Source organism: Homo sapiens, chromosome 1 (assembly GCF_000001405.40).
Source record: "Homo sapiens chromosome 1, GRCh38.p14 Primary Assembly".
Taxonomy (NCBI): domain Eukaryota; kingdom Metazoa; phylum Chordata; class Mammalia; order Primates; family Hominidae; genus Homo; species Homo sapiens.
Genome location: NC_000001.11, coordinates 32,704,551 through 32,727,236, shown reverse-complemented (window position 1 = coordinate 32,727,236; position 22,686 = coordinate 32,704,551). Strand labels below are relative to the sequence as shown.

The 22,686-nt window shown below is 52.1% G+C and overlaps 5 annotated features.

Annotated features, from left to right (window-relative positions):
- Nucleotides 1,715-2,009: an enhancer, noted in NCBI's record as "tiled region #8469; HepG2 Activating non-DNase unmatched - State 7:EnhWF, and K562 Activating DNase unmatched - State 1:Tss". NCBI's record gives its function as "activates a minimal TATA promoter and a strong SV40 promoter by Sharpr-MPRA in HepG2 cells, with weaker activation in K562 cells {active_cell/tissue: HepG2 | K562}" and the evidence as "EXISTENCE:reporter gene assay evidence [ECO:0000049][PMID:27701403]".
- Nucleotides 2,118-2,946: an enhancer, noted in NCBI's record as "H3K27ac-H3K4me1 hESC enhancer chr1:33189892-33190720 (GRCh37/hg19 assembly coordinates)". NCBI's record gives its function as "activates a minimal SCP1, AML or CMV promoter by ChIP-STARR-seq in primed H9 embryonic stem cells {active_cell/tissue: H9 hESC(primed)}" and the evidence as "EXISTENCE:reporter gene assay evidence [ECO:0000049][PMID:30033119]".
- Nucleotides 8,812-9,567: an enhancer, noted in NCBI's record as "H3K27ac-H3K4me1 hESC enhancer chr1:33183271-33184026 (GRCh37/hg19 assembly coordinates)". NCBI's record gives its function as "activates a minimal SCP1, AML or CMV promoter by ChIP-STARR-seq in primed H9 embryonic stem cells {active_cell/tissue: H9 hESC(primed)}" and the evidence as "EXISTENCE:reporter gene assay evidence [ECO:0000049][PMID:30033119]".
- Nucleotides 12,615-12,909: a silencer, noted in NCBI's record as "tiled region #2185; K562 Repressive non-DNase unmatched - State 7:EnhWF". NCBI's record gives its function as "represses a minimal TATA promoter and a strong SV40 promoter by Sharpr-MPRA in K562 cells {active_cell/tissue: K562}" and the evidence as "EXISTENCE:reporter gene assay evidence [ECO:0000049][PMID:27701403]".
- Nucleotides 14,780-15,019: a silencer, noted in NCBI's record as "silent region_607". NCBI's record gives its function as "represses an Ori minimal core promoter by ATAC-STARR-seq in GM12878 lymphoblastoid cells {active_cell/tissue: GM12878}" and the evidence as "EXISTENCE:reporter gene assay evidence [ECO:0000049][PMID:35858748]".

Below are 22,686 nucleotides of genomic sequence, written 5' to 3'. Positions count from 1 at the left end.
AGGTCAGGAGATCGAGACCATCCCGGCTAAAACGGTGAAACCCCGTCTCTACTAAAAGTACAAAAAATTAGCCGGGCGTAGTGGCGGGCGCCTGTAGTCCCAGCTACTTGGGAGGCTGAGGCAGGAGAATGGCGTGAACCCGGGAGGCAGAGCTTGCAGTGAGCCGAGATCCCGCCACTGCACTCCAGCCTGGGCGACAGAGCGAGACTCCGTCTCAAAAAAAAAAAAAAAAAAAAAAAAAAAAGAAGAAAAAAGAAAAAAGAAAGGACTGAATTTAGAAAACACTCTACCTTTTGCTGGGCTCGGTGTCTCACCCCTGTAATCCCAGCACTTTGGGAGTCTCAGGAAGGTGGATCACAAGGTCAAGAGTTCAAGACCATCCTGGCCAACATAGTGAAACCCTCTCTCTATTAAAAATACAAAAATTAGCTGAATGTGGTGGCGCATGCCTGTAATCCCAGCTATTTGGGAGGCTGAGGCAGGAGAATCGCTTGAACATGGGAGGTGGAGGTTGTAGTGAGCCAAGATCATGCAATTGCACTCCAGCCTGGGCAACGAGAGCAACTCTGTCTCAAAAGAAAAAAAAAAAGGCCGGGCCTGGTGGCTCACGCCTGTAATCCCAGCACTTTGGGAGACCGAGGCGGGCAAATCACGAGATCAGGAGATCGAGACCATCCTGGCTAACACGGTGAAACCCTGTCTCTACTAATAATACAAAAAATTAGCCGGGCGTGGTGGTGGGCGCCTGCAGTCCCAGCTACTCGGGAGGTTGAGGAAGGAGAATGGCGCGAACCTGGAAGGCGGAGCTTGCAGTGAGCCGAGATCGCGCCCCTGCACTCCAGCCTGGACGACAGAGCGAGACTCCGTCTCAAAAAACAAAAAACAAAACAAAACACTCTACCTTTAAAAGGGAGAGTGGGAAGAAGAGATTAGAGAAGGAATTGTCCAAAAGATAGAAGGGAAACCAGCAGGGTGATATTTGAGATGAAGAAAAGAGTTCCAAGAAGATGCTGGGCATGGTGGCTCGGGTCTGTAATCCCAGCACTTTGGGAGGCCAAGGTGGGCAGATCACCTGAGGTCAGGAGTTCAAGACCAGCCTGGACAACATGGTGAAACCCCATCTCTACTAAAAATTTAAAAATTAGCCAAGTGGTGCGCACCTGTGATCCCAGCTACTTGGGAGGCTGAAGCAGGAGAATCGCTTGAACCTGGGAGGCAGAGGTTGCAGTGAGCCGAGATCACACCATTGCACTCCAACCTGGGCGACAGAGAGAGCCTCCGTCTCAAAAACAAAAGCTCCATGAAGGTCCAGAAGGACCAGGTCAACCATGCTTACTGTCCCTGACAGCTTAAGCTGTCAGGGTGAGGGATTAGGCAATAGAGGACAACCTTCCAGAGAGAGTGGGCACCAAGGAGTTAGTAACAGATCCAGTGGAGTGGGAGATGGGGAAGTGGAGGTGGTTGGCTGGGAAGAGGAGGAGAGGAAAGGGAAGGAAGGGAGCGTCATGTGGGTATGCAGCCCAGGAGGGCAAGACAAATGGGTTTGGGCTGGCCTGGAAATACTGGGGCTAGGATGTATGCAGGTGGGAAGAGGAAGGGGTGAGCTTTCCTCCTCCCACCTGGTCATTTTAGGTTGACTAGACAGACAAGGACACCCTCAACCTAGCTCTTCCTTGACAGTCTCGGAAGTGTCCCACTTCCTTCATCCCATCCCCATCTTGCAGGCCAAGGCACACTATTCTCATCCCTCCTTCCCTCTCCCTTCCTGCCCCCATGGCTCCCCTGAGGTTTTTCGGAACCAGCCACTCCCACCCCCAGTCTGCTGTCTCACCCTCCCTGGCCCAGCCTGGTGAGACAGGCAGGGAGGAGTTTCCAGGCAGGAAAGCGCTGAGTCACTCACCAACACATCTGGTCTCAGATCTTGATACCCAGCTGGAAGGGGCAGGAAGGAAGAGGGCTCCTCCCCACAAGCTCTCCTGGCCAGTCCCCACCATTGCCAGCTGTGTGGGGCAGTCTGGGAGAGGAGCGCCTCTGCCACTGTAACAACTAGCCTTTGCTGGACTGCCTCGCCCACTCCAGCTGGGGTGCTTCACTTCTGTGATTGCCTTTAATGCTCCGAACAGCCCTGGGAAGTAGGGCCGATCACCTCCAATTCACAGGTGAGGAGACTAAGTGGCTTGCACGAGGTCACGCAGATTTGGCGCGCTGGTGCATTGGTGTCCCCGTCCTATGCTCTGGGCACACAGGAGGGAGTGATGTAAAGAGACAGTGAATGAAGTTGTCCAGGGGCTCAAGCATACCAGTAGGCAGACTGCGCCCATCCTCCTGCCAAAATGGCCCCTTCTCAAAGTCCCAGTGGAGAGAGGGCCATCCTTCCTGCCCCACTCTGTGCCCTGCCCATTTGTTGCTGGCTCTGTTTGGAGTCCCCCACACCCCTCATTCCCCAGCCTCTTTCATTGTCTTCTCCCTCCTCCCCACTGAGAGGAATAGCAGTGGCTTTGGCAGGAGGCGTTCCCATTGTCCTGAGTGGAGAGGGGCATTCAGGTCCTGAGAGGGCAGGGCAGATCATGCCAGGGCCTGTCACCTCTTCCCAGGCTGCAAAGCAGCCTTCTTGGGGCCCAGGCTGGTTTTTTATACAACATGCAGTGTGACATTGGGCAAGTCACTTCACTCCCCACAGGATGGGTTATTGCACATACATCATACAGGAGAGCGTGCAAATCACTGTTCTTCTCTAGGCCAGACTAGCCCCAATAGTAATTTTTTTTTTTTTTTGAGACGGAGTCTCACTCTGTCACCCAGGCTGGAGTGCAGTGGCGTGATCTTGGCTCACTACAACCTCCGCCTCCTGGGTTCAAGCAATTCTCTGCCTCAGCCTCCCGAGAGCTAGGATTACAGGAGCCTGCCACCACGCCCAGCTAATTTTTGTGTTTTTAATAGAGATGGGATTTCACCACCTTGGCCAGGCTGGTCTTGAACTCCTGACCTCGTGATCCATCCACCTCGGCCTCCCAAAGTGCTGGGATTACAGGCATGAGCCACCGCACCTGGGCTTTTTTTTTTTTTCCTGAGACAGAGTTTTGCTCTTGTTGCCCAGGCTGGAGCACGATCTCAGCTCACTGCAACCTCTGCGTTCCGGGTTCAAGCGATTCTCCTGCCTCAGCCTCCCAAGTAGCTGGAATTACAGGTGTGCACCACCATGCCCGGCTAATTTTGCCTTTTTTTTTTTTTTTTGAGACGGAGTTTTGCTCTTGTTGCCCAGTGCAATGGCACAATCTCGGCTCACTACAACCTCCGCCTCCCCAGTTCAAGCAATTATCCTGCCTCAGCCTCCTAAACAGCTGGGATTACAGGCATGCACCACCACGCCAGCTAATTTTGTATTTTTTTTTTTAATGGAGATGGGGGTTTCTCCATGTTGGTCAGGTTGGTCTTGAACTCCCGACCTCAGGTGATCCGCCTGCCTTGGCCTCCCAAAGTTCTGGGATTACAGACGTGAGCCACCGCACCTGGCCTCCCAGTTGTAATTTTAGTTATAATTCATTTATTTATTTTAGAGATGGGGTCTTGCTATATTTCCCAGGCTGGACTCAAACTCCTGGGCTCAAGTGATCCTCCTGCATCAGCCTCATGACTAGTTGAGACTACAGGCACGGGCCACCATACCCAGCTCCTGATATTAACTTTTGACTGGTTTAAATTGTATGTAATGTGGCTGATGTCACAGCCGTACCACTTGCTGTGTGATCTTGGGACAATTTTCTTTTTTTTTTTTTTTTTTTTTTTTTGAGACAGAGTCTTGCTCTGTCGCCCAGGCTGGAGTGCAGTGGTGCGATCTTGGTTCACCACAAACTTTGCCTCCCAGGTTCAAGCAATTCTCCTGCCTCATCCTACTGAGTAACTGGGATTACAGACAGAGAAACACAAAGTCATAAATAAAAGTCACCTCTAATTCCATCCAGAAGTACCTTTTTGTGATATTTTTCTTTCTTTATTTTTTTAATATATATATTTGAGACAGGGCCTTGCTTTGTCACCCAGGCTGGAGTGCAGTGTCATGCACGGCTCACTGCAGCCTTAACCTCCCAGGTTCAGGTGATCCTCTCACCTCAGCCTCCTGGCTAGCCAGGACTACATACACCTTCCATCATGCCCAGCTAATTTTTATTTATTTGTTTGTTTGTTTGTTTGTTTTTATTTTTTTGAGACGGAGTCTTGCTCTGTTACCCAGGCTGGAGTGCAGTGGCACAATCTCAGCTCACTGCAAGTTCCGCCTCCCGGGTTCACGCCATTCTCCTGCCTCAGCCTCCCGAGTAGCTGGGACTACAGGCACCCGCCACCATGCCCAGCTAATTTTTTGTATTTTTAGTAGAGTTGGGGTTTCACCATATTAGCCAGGATGGTCTCGATCTGCTGACCTCGTGATCTGCCCACCTCGGCCTCCCAAAGTGCTGGGATTACAGGCGTGAGCCACCGTGCCCGGCCATGCCCAGCTAATTTTTGTATCTTTTGTAGAAATGAGGTTACGCCATGTTGCCCAGGCTAGTCTAGAACTCCTCACCTCAAGCAATCTGCCCATCTTGGCCTCCTAAAGTGCTGGTATTACAGGCATGAGCCATCATATCTAGCCTAGGATATTTTATTTATTTCTTTTTTTCTTCCCTTCCTTCCCTTCCTTCCTTTCCTTTCCTTTCTCCTTCCTTCCTTTCTTTCTTCCTTCTTTCCTTCCTTCCTTCTTTTCTCCTTCCCTTCCCTTTCATTCCTTCCATTCTGTCTCTCCTTCTTTCCTTCCTTTCTCTCTCTCTCTCTCTTTTTCTCTTTATCTCTTTCTTTCTTTCTTTTTATTTGAGAGGGGTGTCTCACTCTGTGACCCAAGCTGAAGTGCAGTGGTGAGATCATAGCTCACTGCAGCCTTGAACTCCTGACCTCAAGCAATCCTCCCACCTCGCTGGGACTATAGGCATGAGCCACTGTGCTGACACAGGAGATTTTATTACACAGAGTAGAACTGCCCTCCCCCATCCTCCAAGGGAATGGCCCATATGCTTCCAGGCTGGAAAGTGGCATTGATGGTGGATATGATCTGTATTTTCTGCATCTTCTCTGGGCCTCAGTTTCCCTGTCTGGAAAGGAAATGGTTGGACTAATCAGGGGAGACAAATAGATTTAATCTCACATGCCAGTTGATGCCCCCAAAATGGTTCTGGGTTAGAGGGAGAGAGTACCATGATCAGTTAATCATGTCTGCCATGAATGCAGAAATGAGTAGTGGTAGCACCATGTTCTCAGTGCACTTCTGGGTTCTGAACACAGACTAGCTCCCATGTAACATTGTGCACTATTACACTTTCTCTGCGGAGCCCAACCAAGGATCTCCTCAACTCAGACCCTAAACAGGGTGACCTTGGGGAGCTGGAGAGGGAAGAGAGTTTGAGTATTTTCTCACTAAAAGGGAATATACAAATAGCATGCATATGTGCAGCCATTCCTCACCAGTCCAGGCTTGGGTATTTGAATGTTAAATGATCAGATGTAAATGAATGCAAATGAGCAGTGAGTTCTTTGGGCAATAAGGCCTTAGGCCAGCCAGAATGGCTGGGACCAGTGTAGACAGCCCTCACTGAAGGTGAGATAGGGCAGTGCCTGAGCATTTCAGCTGAAAGACAGTCTCAGTTCTGGTCTGAGGGTTCTTCGAGGGGCACCTTGGCTCAGTAAGAGGACAGAGACAGAGAGAGTGGGGACTCTATGGCAGAGGGTGGGCTCAGTCAAGGGGAGGTTATTGGTAAAAAGAGATGAGGGCTGTGGTGCGGTGGATCACCCCTGTAATCCCAGCACTTTGGGAGGCTGAGGCGGGTGGATCACTTGAGGCCAGGAGTTAGAGACCAGCCTGGCCAACATGGTGAAACCCTGTCTGTACTAAGGAGAGGTCCCCATCTCCTCACTGAGCCCCATCCCCTCACTAGGTCCCCATCGCCTCACTGAGTCCCAGGAGGCAGAGGTTGCAGTGAGCCGAGATCGTGCCACTGCACTCCAGCCTGGGCGACAGAGCAAGACTGTCTCAAAAAAAAAAAAAAAAAAAAGAGATGGGGGCTTAGTGATGAGGAGGGAAGGGGCATCCCAAGAACCTGGGATAGGGCCACCTCTGTTCCCAGCATTCCAAATGCCTTTCTGGAAGCTGCCTCCAGCCTACAGGACCCTAGAGGTGGGAGGAACCTTTTGGGAAATAAGAGGTTCCTTGCCCTCCAGGACCCAAGGCCAGGCCTCCCTCTCACTGGTTTCCGTGGCTCCCTCCCAGCCCTGGCCCCCTAACCCCTAAGGCCTCACAGTTTGCCACTCAGGACTGTTTGGTGTTGCCTGTCTTGGTCCCAGATACAGGTCACTGATACCAAGGTGCACAGCCATGTCCCTCTAGGGTCAAGCTGAATATAGACCAGGGGTAGGCTCCAGGACCAGAGCTGGGGTGGGAAGAGATCATTAAGGTAATGAGTTCCAGAGGCTTGTCTACCCCTTCTCTAATTCAAGCTTTCACTGAGCCCCAACCCCTCACTGAGCCCCATCCCCTCACTGAGCCCGAACCCCTCACTGAGCCCCATCCCCTCACCAAACCCCTATCCCCTCACTGAGCCTCCAACTCCACACTGAACCCCCATTGCCTCACTGAGCCCCATCTCTTCACTCAGCCTCCAACTCCGCACTGAACCTCCAACTCCTCACTGAGTCCCATCCCCTCACTGAGTCCCATCCCCTCACTAGGTCCTCATCCTCTCACTAGGTCCCCATCTCCTCACTCAGCCCCATCCCCTCACTAAGCCCCATCCCCTCACTAGGTCCCCATCTCCTCACTGAGTCCCCATCCTCTCACTCAGCCCCAATCCCCTCACTCAGTCTGGTCCCCTCAGCTAGCCCTGTCCCCACGCTGATTCCCCATCTCCCTCATCAAGCCTTATTGGTATTAACCTCCAGTTCCCAGATGAAGCATTTTGAACTGCAGCCCTGAACCAGCATTGTGTTCACATGCCATAGCCATACCAGCCACATCCTTGTCATGTCATGGCCCAGGGCACAGGCTGAGAGATGGAGGAGCCAGAGGCAAAGGGATCAATAATAGCCTGGAAGGAGAGCCCAGCCAAGGGCTTTCTTGGGCAGCTTCCACAGCAGCTCCAGACCCATTCAGTGGAACAGATGTTGAGATGATGCTGTGGGCAGAGCAGCAGCTCACCCTCTGGCCTGCCAGGACTCAAGCCAGGCTGGAACACAGAGCAGGGACTGGCCCCACCCTGATACCCTGCACAAGAGTTCCACTGTGCACCCTCCTTCCACCACCCACCCGGCCCCTCAGGCCTGGCCATGGGTCAGGGGGGTCAGGCAGGGCCACCCATAAAGGCCGGAAACAGAAGGACACCCAGGCAGTGAGGGAGCAAGGCAGAGAGGCTGTGAGATCCAGGGTCAGGGATGTATAGTATAGTCAGACCTACAAGCAGAGAGAGGCTGTGTGTTTACCCCCCAGCGTCTGGCGTGGCAGGAGTGGCACCAGAGAGCTCCAGTGCCCTGGCATCTCCAGGACACAGAGAAGCAGACCCATGTGAGGGACCCAAGCCCACAGGCCTCCTGGAGAGCCCTGGACAAGGACACTGGAGTCCCAGGCCCCACCGCACAGCATCGGCCTTCAACGGAGCCTCAGAGCTCCTTGGCGGACTTCACTCACCTGGTTGTTCACGAACACAGTCACTGACGTTTAACTCTGCCAGCCTTGTGTTGGGCATGGGGCAAAGATACCAAAAGATACTTCATGGAAATGGCTGAAATCGGGGTCTGGATTCAAGGGAGTGGTTTATGCTCTAAATGCCTGCCTTGCCCACCATCCTTTCTAAGGATTTCTTACATCACCTGGTGATCCAACTGGTCTGCCACTAACTAGATCAGAGGTGGGCCTGACCTAGGGCCTGGCCCTCTCTCAGCTGGCCAGTGGTCCATGACATGGTCTGGCTGGAAGCTGCCCCCTAAGAATCAGATTCACTGGATCCTCCTCCCCATCAGTAGATCCTCTGTCAGGGAGGAGGGAGTACCCAGAGAAGGCTGTGGGCAGGACCATGAAGCAGCAGGAGCCGAGGGCAGCAAGGACGCTGGTCGGGCAAGATGTGCAGGAAGGACAGAAGCAACGTCTCAGCGTGACAGTCTCTGTGACCACTAAGCCTCAGACTCGGGAGCATCAGGCGCCTGCAGACGAGGCAAAGAGGAGACATCCAGATCAGTAGAGCTACTCTGCTTTGTGAACATCCATGAAGACTCCCTGAGGCTTGGAGGTGAGGGACACCATCCCTGCCTGCCTGCCTTCTCCAAACAGCCTCAAACAAGGCCCTGTCTCCTGAAGCATTTGGGTGAGCATTTCTCTGGTCCTTGTCACCCAGAAGAGCCAAATGAACTCTGGCTCTCACATCCTTGCTTCTGTGGCCTCCTCCACCAGCCAAAGTCAGCCCTGGTATCCAGTGGAAGCCACATATGGTAGCAAGAGCCTTGGACCTGAAGTCCAAAGGTGAGATTCAAGTCCTCCTTTTGCTGTGATCTGCCTCCCAGAGGCCTGCTCTTCCCACTCCCTGCCAGTGCCCTGTCCCATCGCCACTGCCCCCCACCCTTATTCCAGAAGAGCATCCAGGACTTCCATCAATCTGGTGCCCCCTGCTCTAGCCAGACTTCCCCAGGTGGGGCTGGAGACTAGACACATCCTGGGAGCCTGTGGTTCTGAAAGAAGGGCCGAAAGGGGACAGAGATCACTGGAATGGTGGAATTCCAAACACTTGCGACTAGCCAGTAGAGAGGTTGTTCAAGCCTGGGCTGATTTAGTCACGTTTTTCCCCAATCCAGCCCCCTCCATCTAGGGGAGAGGGGCAATGGACAGGGAGCTGGATTCTGGTTAGAACAGGAAGTCCTACTGGGGCTGTTGATGGAGCTCACATGAGACTGTGTCACCTCAGCCTTCTCTCCATTTCCACCCATGTCTCGTCATACTTTCCTCCTTTCTCTCTGCAACTAGAGGTCAGTCAGTCCTGGACCAGCCCATCCCCAACCTCCCCCTACACCTAACAGCATGAGCTCCAGAGCCAGAAAGGCCTGGGTTCAAATCCTAGCTTGGCTACTTTCTGACCATGTGACCCTAGGCAAGCTGCCTCCCTCTCTGAGCAAGCCTGAAGGGAATAAAATGACAACATGGGAAAGGCCAAGCGAGCGGCTGAGGGGCTCACTAAATGTCAGTTTCCTTTCTCTTTCCCAGGTTCAAAGTCCCTGGGTTGGGGACACTGACGGGGCTGGACATGGCCAGGGATTCCACCAGGGGCTTTAAGAGTCATGGAATTGCCGGGCGCTGTGGCTCACACCTGTAATCCCAGGAGTTTGGGAGGCTGAGGCAGGAGGATCACTTGAGCCCAGAAGCTTGAGACCAGCCTAGACAACAACGTGAGACCCTGTCTCTACAAAGAAATAAAATTAGCTGGGTGTGGTGGTGCACACATGTGGTCCCAGCTACATGGGAGGCTGAGGCAGGAGGATCACTTGATCCCAGGAGGTTGAGGCTGCAATGAGCCAACACTACACCAATGCACTCCAGCCTAGGTGACAGAGCATGACCCTGTCTCAAAAAAAAAAAAAAAAAGTCATGGAATCAAACACAAGTGCCCACCTGCAGCAGGTCACTGCACTGCTTTGGGCTGTGTGTCGTCATCTGTCAAATGGGGGTACAATAGAAGATGCTTAGCAAATAATGTAAGGCCCCCCTTCCCTGGTCACAGAAGTCCACCTAGAGGAGGGGACTGAGCCTTCCTTTGAGTGTTGAGAGGACAAGCTGGGCAAGAGAGGGACTGCTCTTTAAGGCAGGAGGCTCTGGAGGTTGGGGGCAGGTGCGGGGGGCAGTGAGTCACCAGGAAGGGAGAGGGGGCACAGGGGCTGGGCTTTTCTAAAGGATGGGGCAGGCTTTATGCCTCCATCAGCCTGGGGCCAGTTGGAGGGGCACTTCTAAATGTGGACTCACAAAAGCTCAGGTTTATTCTGAGACTTATTCAGAGGGTCACACACACACTTGGCCACACAAAGGCACGCTGGAGACAAACAAACACATTCATACTTACTCCTGCACACCCAGGGACAGCCACACAGAAACAAAGGCACACAAAAGAGGTATTTGAGACATTCAGGCAGTCTTGCATACAACCTTGTATCCTCACAGTCAAAGTGCACGTTTATTTTGTACACACTCCTGTGCACTCTGGAACATTCAGAGACACCCTCACAGACACACAGAGGCTAGCACAGTCAGGTGTTCTCAACACTCAGGTGCCTTCACCCAGCCCAGGGCTGTCCCCTTCTCTCCAGCCAAGCAGGCTCCGCCTTTTCTCCCCGCCCACTTCCCACCGTCCTCTGGGGCCTCTAGGGCCTCTCTCCAGAGCTGGGGGAGGGGACAGGGCAGGGCTTACCCGGCTGATGTGGCAACAGCGCTCACCTGCAGCCAGGGCCACGCCCTCCACTGGGAAAGGCTTAAAGGAGCAGGAATCCCAGGTGTTGACCTCACAGGGTCTGTGCCCATGTTTTTCAGATGGGGTCAAATGGAGAATGGGACTTGAACCCAGGACTCCAGTGCCAAGAGCTGGGTGGGGAGTAGGCAGGGGATGCTCCTGCTGGGAATGGGGAAGCCTGGGTTCCAGACCCACCTCTTGCCTGCCCTGGTTAGCTGCTTGGCAACCTACGCCTCCCCACTGCTCCTCAGCTCCCTGACAGGCACTCCCACCTTCTTGCAGTCCCTGTCTCAGGAGTCAGCACTCTCCTGAAAGCCACCCAAGCCAGAAACCTGGGCATCCCGCCACACACCTCTCTCTACCTGTGGAATCTATCCCTAAACATTTCCTGAACCTGGGTAGAAGATGCAGTAGGCAACCAGCCAGCTCTTTCCCAGCTCTGTGACTTAGGGCAAGTCACTGCTGTTCTCTGACCCTCAGTTTCCTCATCTGTAAATGAGGCGTGATCACACCCACCTCACAGGATTGATGAGACAATTTAACTACATAATACAGATAGAGCGCTGTAGGCCCAGGCCCAAGAACTCTGGACTGGTTTGGTGAGTGACTAGATATATGGATGAGTTGCCCAACATACTGAGGCAGGCCAGGTCACCCCTACTGCAGCCTCACTGATCCTGCCACCTCCTAGGGAATTCCAAAGGACCTGTCTCACAGTGTGGTTTGCTGCTGCTTCCAAAGCTCGGGCAGCCCAGCCCAGCCCAGCCCTAACTGCTGTATCAAGGTAGAAGGGTTAGGCCGGTGGACAGTGGCAGAGGTGGAGAGGGGTCAGGGAGACACAGCCATGCCTGTGGGAGCCACCAGCCTGCTGGGGGAGATCCAGCTCAGCTCTGCTCCTGGAGTACCTGGCTGAAGCAAGGAAGGCCCATTCTGTTCTTGCGGCTCCAAGGCTAGTTAGTGAACATATCTAGCATGGCCCAAGGGCTCCAAAGCCTGAAGTAGAAGCAGCCTGGTCCAGGAGCTCCTGGGCTGGTAAGGGAGACACTCCTGAGCCCAGGTCCTCAAACTAGTTGGGGAGATAGAGCATTCGCCTGGGATTCCCAGTCTGATGGGAGCAAATTGCCCTCTCCTAGGGGCTCCTAGGCTGGTAAAAAACACAACTCTTTCCGGGCGCGGTGGCTCACACCTGTAATCCCAGCACTTTGGGAGGCCAAGGCAGGCGGATCACCTGAGGTCGGGAGTTCGAGACCAGCCTGACCAACATGGAAAAACCCCGTCTCTACTAAAAATTAGCCGGACATGGTGGCACATGCCTATAATCCCAGCTACTCGGGAGGCTGAGGCAGGAGAATCGCTTGAACCTGGGAGGCGGAGGTTGCAGTGAGCCGAGATCGTGCCATTGCACCCCAGCCTGGGCAACAAGAGCAAAACTCCGACTCAAAAAAAAAAAAAAAAAAAAAAAAGGCTGGGCGCGGTGGCTCATGCCTCTCATCCCAGCACTTTGGGAGGCTGAGGCGGGTGGATCACAAGGTCAGGAGTTCAAGACCAGCCTGGCCAACATGGTGAAATCCCGTCTCTACTAAAAATACAAAAGTTAGCCAGGCGTGGTGGCGGGCACCTGTAATCCCAGCTACTCAGGAGGCTGAGGCAGGAGAATCGCTTGAAACCGGAAGACGGAGGTTGCAGTGAGCCGAGATTGCACCACTGCACTCTAGCCTGGGCAAAAGAGTGAAACTCCATCTCGAAGACAAAAAAACATAACTCTTGCCAGGTGCAGTAGCTCATGCCTGTAATTCTAGCACTTTGGGAGGCTGAGGCAGGTGGATCACCTGAGGTCAGGAGTTCAAGACTAGCCTGGCCAACATGAGGAAATCTTGTCTCTTCTAAAAATACAAAAACTAGCCGGGCATGTTGACGGGTGCCTGTAATCCCAGCTACTCGGGATGCTGAGGCAGGAGAATCACTTGAACCTGGGAAGCAGAGGTTGCAGTGAGCCGAGATCTTGCCACTTCACTACAGCCTGGGCGAAAGAGTGAAACTCCATCTAAAAAAAGAAAAAAAAAACACTCTTGTTCTCAGGGACCCCAAGTCACAAAAGAAAACAGACCTGGGACACAGAGGAGTAGTGAGCACAGATGAATTCAGCTTTGTGCGTGAGCCTGTTGCATATTTGTGCACCATTTGTGACTCTGTGCATGTGTGTGCGTGTGTGTGTGGCTGTGTTGACTCTGTGTATGTGCCTTTGAGCCGAGGCTGTTGAGAAAGCTTAGTGAGTGTGGACCCAGTTGGGTGGAATCGCTTATTCATTAGACACACATTTACCAAACATTCACAGGGCAGGGCCCTAGGCATAACATGGAGCCCTTGACTGATGAGGTTCTTGTTTTTGAGGGCTTCACTCTGTAATGAGGGGAGATTAGGCACTAAACAAAAAAATCCTGCTGGGTATGGTGGCTCACACATGTAATCCCAGCACTTTGGGAGGCTGAGTCGGGCGGATCACCTGAGGTCAGGAGTTCGAGACCAGCCTGGCCAATATAGTGAAACCAATAGAGTGAAACCAATATAGTGACCAGCCTGGCCAATATAGTAGTTTTGTAAAAATACAAAAAGTAGCCAGGCATGGTGGTGCACACCTGTAGTCCCTCCCAGCTACTCAGAAGGCTGAGGCAAGAGAATTGCTTGAACCCAGGAGGTGGAGGTTGCAGTGAGCCGAGATCGCGCCACTGCACTCCAGCCTGGGGGACAGAGTGAGACTGCATCTTAAAAAACAAAACAAAACAGCCGGGCGCGGTGGCTCACGCCTCTAATCCCAGCACTTTGGGAGGCCGAGGTGGGCGGATCACAAGGTCAGGAGTTCGAGACCATCCTGGCTAACACGGTGAAACCCCATCTCTACTAAAAAAATACCAAAAAAAATTAGTCGGGCGTAGGTGGTGCACGCCTGCAGTCCCAGCTACTCGCGAGGCTGAGGCAGGAGAACGGCGTAAAACCCGGGAGGTGGAGCTTGCAGTGAGCCGAGATCGCGCGCCACTGCACTCCAGCCTGGGAGACAGAGCGAGATACTGTCTCAAAAAAAAAAAAAAAAAAAAAAAAAAAACAAGAAATGCAAAAGAAACTCAGGCGACCATAGGACCACAGGGAGGGAGCGTCCTGGAAAAAGTGATATTTAAGCTGTGTTCTGAGTAACAAGCTTTAGGGCTTGGGGAAAGGGTGTTCCAGATACAAGGAGTGGCATGTGCAAAGGCTGTGGACCTGGGAGAGGACACGGGGAAAGGTTTTTCTGGAGAAGATGGCTGGATGGGGTTTTGGAAGCGGTAAGGAGAACAAACGGGGCGTTGCTTCAGTTTGAGGGATGTAGTGGGATTGGCCAGGGGAAGATTGCTGGCTTGGGCCTGCACCTGGGGACGGAGGGGCAGTTCCCAGAGGAGTCCAAGGAGCTGAAGGTGCTGCCAACTCCAGAGAGGAGTAGGGAAGCTCCGAAGAGGGGGTTTAGGGAGAGAGCTCCTGGACTGGCCTCTGGGCTGTGCTAGGGGAGAGAGAGACCCATGGAGGCCCGCGAGCCTGGGAAAGGGTCCCCAGCGTTCTCATTCCACAAAGGAATTCAATCAGAGCTCCCTCACAGGACAGAGGGAATTACGGTACATGCACTTCTCCTAAGTTGCTCATTTATTCCTCTCAAGAACTATAATACATTTCCCATTTGAAAACAAAGGAGGCTGGGCGCAGTGGCTCACGCCTGTAATCCCAGCACTTTGGGCGGCCGAGGCCGGTGGATCACAAGATCGGGAGATCGAGACCATCCTGGCTAACACAGTGAAACCCCGTCTCTACTAAAAACATATAAAAAAATTAGCCAGGCGTGGTGGCGGGCGCCTGTAGTCCCAGCTACTCGGGAGGCTGAGGCAGGAGAATGGCGTGAACCTGGAAGGCGGAACTTGCAGTGACCGGAGATCGCGCCACTGCACTCCAGCCTGGGCGACACAGCCAGACTCCGTCGTCTCAAAAAAAAAAAAAAAAAAAAAAAAAAAAAAAAGGAAGCAGAAGCTCAGAGAAGCCTAAGGGTACAGAGCGGGGAAACGTGAGAGACTGCTCTGCTCTGGATTCGAACCCAGCTCAGAGTCTAAGGCCTGGCACCTTCCCTGAGTCCCACAGCCTCCCAGCAAGCGCATGCGCCCTTTAAACTCCAGCAGCTCGCTATGGGTGGATCTGCGGCTATTATTGTTGTGTGTTCATTATCACTGCGGTGCTAAAGGACGTCCTTGATTCAGCTGGGACGCCGACCTCCCCACTGTCGGCGCGCCATCGGTCCTGAAAACTCAGGGCCCGGGCGGCCCCGCGCGGCTGCGGCGGAAAAGACAACCCCCGGGGCGCGGGGTCGGCGTGGCGGCGCCCCCTGGAGGCAGTGCTCGGCATTGCCCGACCTGGGGAGGAACGACCCTGAACGCAGCTTCCTCTGAAGCGGTGGCTGGTGGTCAGCACCGGGTAGGCCCCAATGGCTCCCAGACAGCGGTCCCAGAGGGCAGGGAGAAAGAAGGAAATAAAGAGAAGAACACTTATCAAGTGTCTCTTGTATACTGGGCAAAAGGCTGGGCATTTCCTGCACATTTTCTCATTTAACGCCCACCCAATCTCATTTCCTAGAAGCAGAATCAGGGGGCCAGGCGCGGCGGCTCACGCCTGTAATCCCAGCACTTTGGAAGGCCGAGGCGGGTGGATCACCTGAGGTCAGGAGTTTGAGACTAGCCCGGCCAACATAGTGGAACTCCGTCTCTACTAAAAATACAAAAATTAGCCTGGCGTGGTGGCAAGTGCCTGTAATCCTAGCTACTCAGGAGGCTAAGGCAGGAGAATTGCTTGAACTCGGGAGGCGGAGGTTGCAGTGAGCTGAGATCCAGCCACTGCACTCCAGCCTGGGTGACAGAGTGAGACTTTGTTTCAAAAAAAGAAAAAAAGAAGTGGCCGGGCGCTGTGGCTCACGTCTGTAATCCCAGCACTTTGGGGGGCCAAGGTGGGCAGATCACGAGGTGAGGAGATCGAGACCATCCTGGCTAACATGGTGAAACCCCATCTCTACTAAAAATACAAAAAATTAGCTGGGCGTGGTGGTGGGCGCCTGTAGTCCCAGCTACTCGAGAGTCTGAGGCAGGAGAATGGCATGAACCTGAGAGGCGGAGCTTGCAGTGAGCTGAGATGGCACCACTGCACTCCAGCCTGGGTGACAGAGCAAGACTTGGTCTCAAAAAAAAAAAAAAAAAAAAAAAAGGAAGCAGAACCAGAGAGGTTAAGTAATTTGCCCGGAGACACAAAACAAGTCTGTGGCCATGCCTGGGCCCCTTGGGGCTAAGTCTGAGGATGGAAAGGCTGCCAGATTCCCACTAGACTATAAGTCTCTGAAAGTCAAGGTTAATGACAATGATGTGGATAACACATCATTTATTCGTGGAGGCAGTGTATTGAATCTTGGGTGCCACCATTTCCTCTCTGTGTGACTTTGGTCAACTAAGTTGCATAACCTCTCCAAGCCTCAGTTTTCTCATCAGTAAATGGGCTTTATTACAGGCCCCATGTTATAGGGCTGTTCTGAAGATTTATTGCATTAAAGCAGATAAAATGCCTTCTAGCCCAGGTGCAGTGGCTCCGGCCTGTAATCCCAGCACTTTGGGAGGCCCAAGCAGGCAGATCACCTGAGGTCAGGAGTCTGAGACCAGCCTGGCCAACACGGCGAAATCTCCTCTCTACTAAAAATACAAAAATTAGCCAGGCATGGTGGTGGGTGCCTGTAATCCCAGCTAATCAGGAGGCTGAGGCAGGAGAATTGCTTGAATCCGGGAGGTGGAGGTTGCAGAGAGCCAAAATTGCGCCACTGCACTCCAGCCTGGGTGACAGAGCGAGACTCTGTCTCAAAAAAAAAAAAAAAAGACTAGTTTAGCATCTGGCTTGCAGTAGGGGCTCAAGAATATAGCTAACATCATTTACTAATTTGGCCACTATTTGTTTTTTCTTTTCATTCTTTATTCTCTTCTATTTGTCTTATTCATTACTATACTCTTCATGAACACATCATTTGGCCACTATTTGTTGAAAACCTAGGGACAAGGGACACAGCCATGAAGTCATACAGATATAGGTCTTGCTTTAATGACTTACTGTCTTTGTGTTCTTAGGGTTTAACACATTGTCTGGCCTAACAAATGGTGAAGTGAATGAATGAGCGAGTGAAAACACATGCTGTAGTCAGCCAGCCCCTGGTTGCAGCTTCAGAGAGAGGAAGCAGGAGAAAGGGGAGTTTCAAAAATAATAGTTAATTATTTCTTGTTTTTGTTTTGTTTTGAGACAGAATTTTGCTCTTGTTTCCCAGGCTGGAGTGCAATGGCACGATCTCGGCTCACTGCAACCTCCGCCTCCTGGGTTCAAGCGATTCTCCTGCCTCAGCCTCCCGAGTAGGTGGGATTACAGGCATGCACCACCATGCCCAGCTAATTTTGTATTTTTAGTAGAGACGGGGTTTCTCCATGTTGGTCAGGCTGGTCTTGAACTCCCGACCTCAGGTGATCCACCCACCTCGGCCTCCCAAAGTGCTGGGATTACAGGAGTGAGCCACCGCGCCTGGCTGTGTTATCTAATTTTACAGAGAAGAAAACAATTTCCATGAAGTGGAGTGACTTTCCTAAGGTCACACAGCAAGTAAGCGCTCCAAAGCTTGGATTCATACCCTGGCTCTCTAGAAGCAGTAGGTCAAGGCTGGGTGCGGTGGCTCATGCCTGTAATCCCAGCACTTTGGAAGGTCAAGGCTGGAGGATCGTTTGAGTTCAAGAGTTCAAGACCAGCCTGGGCAACATGGTGAGATACCCCTCTATCTGGCTGTGATCTGTACAAAAAATAAAATATTTAGCCGGGTGGGGTGGCACACACCTGTGGTCCCACTGATCATACCACTGCACTCCAGCCTGGGCAAGAGCAAGACTCTGTCTGAAAACAAAAAACAGAAGTGGTGGGTCTGAGGGCCCTGCCAGGGCATCTCTGTACCACCCTCCTCCCACCTCTAGACGGGTTGCTGGAGCTCTTGGCACAAAGAAAGTGAGCAGAGGCCAGGCGTGGTGGCTCATGCCTGTAATCCCAGCACTTTGGGAGACCCAGGAGGGCGGATTGAAGGTCAAGAGTTCACGACCAGCCTGGCCAATATGGAGAAACCCCTTCTCTACTAAAAATACAAAAATTAGCCAGGTGTGGAGGCAGGTGGCTCAGGAGGCTGAGGCAGGAGAACCCAGGAGGCAGAGATTGCAGTGAGCCAAGATCATGCCATTGCACTCCAGCCTGGGGGACAAGAGCAAGAACGCCGTCTCAAAAAAAAAAAAAAAGTGAGCAGAATGGCCTCCACCTGCATCAGTAGTAATGGGGAATGTGCTACTCTCAGCTTGGAGAGCAGCTCCACTTCCAGTGGCTCATGTGTTGAGCCTCACATTTGATTGCATTTCACAACAACCCTGTGAAGAGGGTGTTAATTGCCCATTTTGCTGAGAGGGAGCTGAGGTTCAGGGAGGTTGGTTTCCCAGGGTCCTATAGGATCTGCTCTGGGGTCTGGTAGAGACAGCTGCCAAGGCCATGCCTCCCCTGCTGCCCTCTGGTGCCTCTCCACTTCCCAGCTCATCCATCCATTCCTCCCACACGCATGTCCACTCACTCACAGTCCCCTGCCTGCCCCATTCTACCAGCCACAGAAACTACAGTCCTAAGACAGAGGGACCCCTTGGGTGGGGACCCTGCCTGGAGTGGCACCCAGAAGTCTTCACTCGAGATGAAATTTGTTCACAACTTTTCTGATTCTGGTTTTTGGTGCGTTTTTTTTTTTTTTTTTTTTTTTTTTGAGACAGAGTTTTGCTCTTGTTGCCCAGGCTGGAGCACAGTGGCACAATCTTGGCTCACTGTAACCTCCACCTCCCAGGTTCGAGCAGTTCTCCTGCCTTAGCCTCCCAAGTAGCTGGGATTACTGGCATGAGCCACTACACCCAGCCAATTTTTGTATTTTTAGTAGAGACAGGGTTTCACCAGGTTGGCCATGCTGGTCTCGAACTCCTGGCCTCAGGTGATCCACCTGCCTCAGCCTTCCAAAGTGCTGGGATTACAGGCGTGAGCCACCACGCGTGGCTCTAGTTTTTGTATTTTTATTTTATTTATTTATTTATTTGTTTATTTATTTATTTTTTTTTTGAGACAGAGTCTCGCTCTGCTGCCCAGGCTGGAGTGCAGTGGCGCAATCTCAGCTCACTGCAAGCTCCGCCTCCCGGGTTCAGGCCATTCTCCTACCTCAGCCTCCCATGTAGCTGGGACTACAGGTGCCCGCCACCATGCCCAGCTAATTTTTGTATTTTTAGTGGAGACGGGGTTTCACCGTGTTAGCCAGGATGGTATTGATCTCCTGACCTCGTGATCTGCCCGCCTCGGCCTCCCAAAGTGCTGGGATTACAGGTGTGAGCCACCACGCCCGGCCTAGTTTTTGTATTTTTAGTAGAAACCGGGTTTCACCATGATGGCCAGGCTGGTCTTGAACTCCTGACCTCAGGTGATCCACCTGCCTTGGCCTCCCAAAGTGCTGGGATTACAGGCGTGAGCCACGGAGCCCAGCCGGTGGGGATTTATTTATGTATGTTTTTGGAGACAGGGTCTCACTTTGTTGCCCAGGCAGTAGGGCATCATGCAGTAGTGTGATCATTGCTTACCGTAGCCTTGAACTCCTGGACCCAAGCAATATTCCTGCCTCAGCCTCCCTCACACCTGGAATTAGAGGTGTGAGCCACCACACCCAGCTGTGGGGGGTATTTAGAAAGAAAGTCTCCCTAAGTTATCTGTCCAGGGCCCAGCTTTCTAAGGTTCAGTTTTTATCTTAGGGATCTCAGCAGGAAACAGCGGCACACTCAAACACTCAGTGTTTGCCAGAAGAGGATTTAATGAAGAGACCATTCACAGAGGTGTGGGCAGGAATGGCGGAGCACCTGGGACTCGCAATGGTGGAATGGAATCATTACCCCTGGGCCTGAAGGAGCAGGGGAGGGAGCCTTGTTAAGGAACCTGGCCAGAGCTGTACCCATGGGTACAAACCACCCAACAGGAGCCATGGCTTTTGGGGGAGGAATATAGTTAATGCCAAAGTCACAGGCAGGGAGGGGGCATAATAAATATCTTTATCTAGGCTGGGTGTGATGGCTCACACCTATAATCCCAGCACTTTGAGAGGCTGAAGCGGGTGGATCACCTGAGGTCAGGAGTTTGAGACCAGCCTGGCCAACATGGCAAAATCCTGTCTCTTTGTATTTTGTAAAAATACAAAAATTAGCTGGGTGTGGTAGCACATGCTTGTAGTCCCAGCTACTTGGGAGGCTGAGGCACGAGAATCACTTGAACCCAGGAGGTGGAGGTTGCAGTGAGCTGAGATCATGGCACTGCACTCCAGCCTGGGTGACAAAGCGAGACTCTGTCCCCCCAAAAATAAAAAATAAAATAAAAATAAATATCTTGATCTCACTCTCCTCCCTCTCTGATCTCCTGCCAGGGTCCCCAGTTTGGCCAAACCCCACCTGAAACCAGAAGGCAAGGGGGCCCAGGAGACGCTGGCCGCAGGAGTCAGCTCCTGGACACAAAGCTCTGAGAAGGAAGGTTAGGCTAAGAGTAGCCAGCCCAGGGGCCTCTCTCCTCCTCCTGGGTTTGGCTTTGTGGAGGGGCTGAGAGTTAAGAGTGGCTGCGCTTGTCCTTCAAAGCAGAGTCTGTGCCTGATTCCTGATTCCAGAACAGCTTTTCTCATCCTTCCAGGCCCAGGTACTTTGTTCACGAGGCCATCCCCAGTCCCGGAGTTAATTTCTCCCATCCATCCCTGGCTTCCCTGGTTCTCAATGTCTATCACATCACTCAGCCCAGTGATTTGGCATTATTTTCTGCATAGGTTTTTCTCCCCAGGAGACGGTTCTAGCTTCCTCTACACTGAAAGCTTCTTGCAGGCTTGGGCCAAATAAGGCTGTTTGCTCTGACACAGGGCCCAGCACAGCCCAAGTGCCAATGTTTGCCAAGTGAGCTGAATCTTATGGGCTCAAATACCTCACACTGCCTTGCTGTATGCAATCTGGGCACATGTGTGTCTGTCTCCCTGAGTAGACTGGGGCTCCTGAGAGGTGAGTGGCCCAGGCCTAGCACACAGCAGGCATCAAATATTGCCTAAATTAGCCTAAGTAAAACCATCCTCCTTCCCTTCATTCATTCAACAATTTTTTTGGAGCTTCCAGATAGCTGAACATATGGAGGTTCCTGGAGGATGGTGTGCCCAGGGAGGGGATGGAAGCTTCATGCCCCTTCCTCCATAACTCTGCCCTATTCATCTCTTCATCTGTATCCTTTTCAATATCCTTTATAATAAGCCACTAAAGCTAAATATGGCCATGTGACTGAGCTCTGGCAATAGGACACAATCAGAAGTGGTGTGAGGTGAGCGACCCCTCCTTTTTACTTTCATTGGATAGAATGAGGCATTAGAAGGGAGCTTGGACTGGTCTTGGATGGGTGTGGATTAGGGCCACAGTCTGGAGATGGTGGAAGACCAAGCTGTGATTCTGCATCTTTGGCAGATTGTATTTTCCCAAGACAGAGGCAATACTATATCCCATTCCATAAGCTCTTCTTATACTGTGACTTTGACACACCCTTCCCATTAAAAGGTGGCATCTATGTCCCCTCCCCATGAGCTGGAGGCCCGGGTTTTTGTGACTGCCTTTAGCAACAGAATAGGTCAGCAGTGACAGTGTGTAGCTTCCAAGGCTAGCTCAAAAAAAATGCCTTTCACTTCTGCCTTGTTCTTTTGGGACGTTTACTGTTGGGACTTAGCCACCATGCCATGAGGAAGCACAAGCAACCCGTGGAAAAGCCCATGTGGAGGAGAACCAAGACCCCCAGCCAAATACCCTGCTGAGCTCCCAGCTGACAGACCGCATCAACTTGCCAGCCACATGAGTGAGCTGTCCTGGACGCGAGTTCTGCAACCTCTGGGCAAGCCACCTCAGCTGATGCCACGTGAAGCAGAAATGAGCTGCCTCCACCAAGCCGTGCCCAAATCACAGATCTGTGGGTAAAATAAATGATTGTTATTATTATAAAAAACAAAAACAAACAATTTTTTTAAGGTCCTACTATGTGGTAGTCCCTGTGCTGGGCTCTGGAGACACAGCAGTAAACAAGACACATAAAGTCTCTGCCCTCATGGGGCTTCCATTCTAGTGGGGAAGCAGAGAAGAAAATAATTGAAAATGAATAGTATTGGCCGGGAGCGGTGGCTCATGCCTGCAATCCCAGCACTTTGGGAGGCCGAGATGGGCGAATCACGAGGTCAGGAAATCGAGACCATCCTGGCTAACACGGTGAAACCCCGTCTCTACTAAAAATACAAAAAAATTAGCTGGGCATGATTGCAGGCACCTGTAGTCCCAGCTACTCCGGAGGCTGAGGCAGGAGAATGGCCTGAACCCAGGAGGCGGAGCTTGCAGTGAGCTGAGATTGCACCACTGCACTCCAGCTTGGGCAACAGAGTGAGACTCCGTCTCAAAAAAAAAAGAAAGAAAATGAATAGTATTGTTGCAGATTGATAAGTGCTGCACAGAAAATAAACAGGGTGACAGGGATAAACAGTAAATGGGGTGAGGCATGGTGGCTCCTGCTTGTAATCCCAGCACTTTGGGAGGCTGAGTCTGGAGGATCCCTTGAGGCCAGGAGTTTGAGATCAGCCTTAACAACATAGTGAGACCCCATCTCTATTAAATAAAATTTTACAAAACCCAACAAAACAAAAAAGCCCATAACAAAAAAATAAATGGGTGGACATTATGGGCAGGGGGTGGGGAGGCATCAGAGAAGGCCTCTGTGAGATGTGATCTGAGACCTGAAGGAGAGTAAAAGGTGGGCTGTGAAGAGCTGGAAAGGGTTTTCTAGGCAGAGGGAGCAGCAGAAAAGGCCTGGCTGGGTGTGGTGGCTCACTCCTGTAATCCCAGCACTTTGGGAGGCTGAGGTAGGAGGACTGCTTGAGCCTAGGAGTTTGAGACCAGCCTAGGCAACACAGTGAGACCTCGTCTTTACAAAAAATACAAAAATTATCCAGGTGTGGTGGTGTGCATCTGTAGTTCCAGCTACTCGGGAGGCTGAGATGGGA